Raw genomic sequence first — 4463 nt, 5'->3', positions numbered from 1 at the left:
TGAGAAGGGGAAGAATATTAAAGATTCTATGTGAGGACATAGGATCTCTGCAGTCGTCCAGGAGACAAATGATGCTGTCCCTTAGCAGTGCTAGATGCTAGCAGTGGCGACAGCTAGAAAGGGTCAGATTTAGGATATAATTTGAAAGTTGAACCAACAGGATTTACCAACAGAGTATGAGAATGTGGTTTGTGAAGAAAAGAGGGGAATTAAGCGTGACTCCTAGGTCTGGGACCTAGGCAACTGGAGAGATGTAGCCATTTCCTAAGTGGAGAAAAAATGCAGGAAGCATGTGTGTGGGGTTGGGCGGGGGTGGGGTTTGTGCATGCATGTTTGTGTGTGCATGGGCACATGTATGCACAAAAGTTAGGGTGAAGAAAAAGCAAAGATGCTGTTTGGCTATGGTAAGTTTCAGCTGCATTTAGTGAAGTTGTCCTTAGGCAGCTGTATGTAGAGTGTGATAATCAGTGGAGAGTCCAAGCTTAAGATATATAGAGGGTATTAAAGTCTTGGAACTAAGGCCGGGCATGGTGGCTCATGCCTGTAATCCCAGCACTTTGGAAGGCTGAGGCGGGTGGATCACTTGAGGTCAAGAGTTCGACACCAGTCTGGCCAATATGGTAAAACCCCATCTCTACTAAAAATACAAAAATTAGCCGGGCGTGGTGGTGAGTGTCTGTAGTCCCAGATACTCAGGAGGCTGAGGCAGGAGAATTGCTTGAACCGAGGAGGCGGAGCTTGCAGTGAGCTGAGATTGTGCCATTGCACTCCAGCCTGGATGACAGAGTGAGACTCCCTCTGTCTCAAAAAAAAAAAAAGTCTTGGAACTAGATGAGAACAGCCATGAAGTCAGAGTGATTTGAGAAATATGAGAGCCAAGAGCTGAACCCCAAGGCATAGTAACGCTTAAAGACCAAAAAGCGGGGTAAGGAGCCAGCAAAGGTGAGTAGGCAGGAAGAGCCAATAAGTACAGCGCTTATGAACCTGAGAGAAGAAAATATTGCAAAGATAAGAGGATAGTAAACTGGGCAAAATTTTCTAAAGAGCTCGGCAAGATGAGAAGGAAGTCATCAATGAATCTGGCAACATGGAGATTCTTGGTGACCTTGAAAAGTCAGTATTAGGGAGTAGGGAAGCACAGGAGATGAAAGTCTAATTGGATGGGCTGTGGAGATGAAAGGAAGTGAGGACATAAAGACATAAATGAGATATTTTGCTTTAGAGGGGAGCAGAGAAATAGGATGAAAGGAAAAATGTGAGTCAAGGCAGGGATTTTATCTTAGGATGGGAAATATTTATTTTAATATTACTGCTTATGTAATTAAGGTGAGAAATATAACAGCTGATTGGAATAATCCAGTGGTAATTGGGCACATGTGGAATACTGAAGACATGCAACAATTTTAAGAGTCATTTCCCGAGTAGATGAGAGGGAAAATGATCCAGTGGCAACTAAAGATGTTGTCTTTCGTTAGCAACAGGAACAATTCATCCATTGGAGAAGCCAGAGTATTTGATAGACAAGCTACATAAATGATAAAGTTGCCAAATTAATAACAGAACTAGCTGTAAAAAGGAAGTTAGTGCTACATCTCCAATGAATGAGGAGTGATAAAGAGGTTGAAAGATGATTACAATGAGGAAGTTTGCAGAGTGTATATTCTAATGGGTTATTTAAAGGAGATGCTTTTTGAGAAAGGAAGATAGGGAAATGTATTGGAAGTAGGAATAGGACTAAACAGGACACTTTATTCTCCTTCATATTATTTATATACATACTACATACATATGGGACAAAAAATAACCATCCCTTAAGAAGGAAGTAGAGTCCTTAGTGTGAGCCAGGTTTATAGTTAGAACTAGATGAAGAGAACATTCAGAGAAGAGTTGAGGATGTGGACAGTTTTGCTCGTGACAATCTAAGAGTTCAAGAGAGCAAGCAGAAGGGCTGCAGTGAGTTTGGAGTGGTATAAGGTAGAGTGCCATTGGGAAATTTGGAATACCATGTGGGTTTTATGTTTTGGAAAATAAGAGATGACCAGGGAGTCTTGACCTTTTGATGTTGAATGAGGTAAACAGGAATGTAAGGCATGGTTAAGATTAGGTCTGATGGTCTCCCAGGGGAAAGTGGAAAGTTGGTTCTGTCAATACAGCAGTGTCCTTCTTAGGAATAGTGTGCCATAGTTGGTATTGAAGTGATGGATGCTCATGGTGTGGTAGCATAGGAGTGCTCTGCATTGACATCCTTGCAAAACAGAACATTGTGTTTAGCTGACAGCCTCCCACTGCCTCACCTTAGCAAAATCCACCACTGTGCTCACCCCAAGGCCACATTCTTCCTGGGCTACTCCCAGCCAGACTGAGCATGGGAGAGTACTAAAAACAGGCCATTCCTGCCCAAAGTAAGACTCCTCTTTGCTATGGTCCGCCCTATTGGCCCAGTCAAGACTTTTTTAGGGCTGCCCTATGATCTGAGGCTCTTCCTACCAAATCCTCTTTCCATCTCCCCCTCTTTTCACAGATGTCAAAAGTATTTCTGGGTCAGAGGTTTTTCTTATCTACAGCTGCCCCCTTTCCCTATTACTTTCCATAGGCACTTTCCATAATAAACATCTTACACTTCTAACTCTGTCTTGGCATCTGCTTCCAAAAGAACACGAACTAACACACTTGTGGACTGGAGGAGAGGCTGTGGAGCTGGAAGTAAAGTGTGGTAGATTTTACCAGGAATCACATAACTCCAAGGGCTTCTTTTGGCTCTCATAGACATGTTATGATCAGGGATGAACTAGTTTACCAGGAATAATGGATTTTCTGTAATCCTGCTATAGATGGCATCACAACCAGGATAAGGCATAACTGTTCTATTACTATGCATATTATTATCCTCCTTGTATGCCAAGTTAGAAATGCTATAAAGTAGCCATCAAGAAAGTCAGGAAAAAATGTTTTGAGGGCTTACTCTGTATCACTCATTTGTCTGGTGACTCTCATTCATTCAGAGTACTTTTACTGAGCATCAACGTTTATAGGACACGATCTTGAGACAAAATCAGGGCTGACACTTACTTTTTAAAAATAATTTACATCATTTACATCTTGCCTTATAGCAAGGTGCTTATAGCACCACTGGGTCTGTCTTAAAGTAAACATGTTCACAGTCTGCCACCTGATATAAATTCTTCTTGCCATCTTGCTGACTGGATGTTTCCTGCTTCTCCCAGCTGCATCTCAATTTTCCTCCTTGAATGGACCTAACAAAGGGTCTCTTTCTTGCTATTGCATGTTGCGAATGTTTCAAAACTGATAACATACCTCCAGGACACTAGAACACATGAAAATCGGTGCCTCATGAAAGGAATTGCTTGTGTTGCCCACTTCAGGAGTTCTTGCCTGACAGGTATTTCTGCAGTTTCCCAGTAGAGAGCCCAGCCTGAGTGAAGCTAAGAAAATGTGAGCCTTCAACTCATGAGACACAGCACTGTGGGGTTCAGGTTCCTTTGAACTCTTGGATTACTTATTTGATTTTTTTTCCTGCCCTTTTCTGGAATGACGGCTGCTTAAAATCTCAAACCTCCTATACCTTTTTATTCTTCTCTTTAGTGAAAGGCTTAATTAGGAGCAAAATGTGTCTTTGCATCAGAAACACATCTTAGAAGTTAACAGGAGTCCCTGGCCCCTGCTAAATGCTAGCCAAATGTGTTAAAATCAGTAGTTGGATGTTGCCCATAGAGACAGCTGGAGGATGGGGGGAAGGGGAGATCCAGGGAGTGTCTCACAGCTGGAGAACCCAACAGGAAATTACACTATTGGAGACTTGTGACTAAGCAAACAACTAAATAGGAAAACAAAGAGAGAGAGAGAATGTGAATGAGAAAGAATGTATATGAAACCAGCCCAGCCACGTCACAGAACTGGTAAGGGGATACAGCTCTCTAGGTAGATAAAATTAAAAATAATTATCTGAGAATTGTCTAATCAGACAATTCCATTCACTGAAAGTGAATACAAAAATCCACTAAATGCATACTATTCTAATTTCTGTGCATGTGTGCTGTGGTGTTATTCACAAGTTTAATGAACTCACTTCTAGAAACTTAGAAGCCATTTACTATGGACTTTAGCTGTAAAATTGCAAGAGCTGGACAATTTGTAATGCCCTTTAACCTACACATGCCACTCCTGAGAATAGAGCACAAGAAAATAGCATATGAATGAAGGTAGGTATTCCTATCTATTAATTCTAAGGACAAAATATTTTCAACCTAATGGAAATTGTTTTATAAATGATATAATACCAACACACATAAAGAAACTATGAAGATTATTTGCATTTAAGAATTAATTTCTATGTGTTACACAATGTTAAGTGAATCATTCCCTGCTGTCTTCAGAACATCAATAGATGGGAAATAACACTAAAGAAGAATGTTAGTTTCATCCATATTAAGAATAATAGAACT

General features: G+C 40.9%; 1 annotated feature.

The window, feature by feature from the left end:
- Positions 3373-4022: an enhancer, noted in NCBI's record as "OCT4-NANOG hESC enhancer chr9:27771740-27772389 (GRCh37/hg19 assembly coordinates)". NCBI's record gives its function as "activates a minimal SCP1, AML or CMV promoter by ChIP-STARR-seq in naive H9 embryonic stem cells {active_cell/tissue: H9 hESC(naive)}" and the evidence as "EXISTENCE:reporter gene assay evidence [ECO:0000049][PMID:30033119]".

This window comes from Homo sapiens, chromosome 9, assembly GCF_000001405.40.
Source record: "Homo sapiens chromosome 9, GRCh38.p14 Primary Assembly".
NCBI classification, from domain to species: domain Eukaryota; kingdom Metazoa; phylum Chordata; class Mammalia; order Primates; family Hominidae; genus Homo; species Homo sapiens.
Note: the sequence above shows the minus strand (reverse complement) of the source record. Positions and strands in the feature narration are given on the sequence as shown.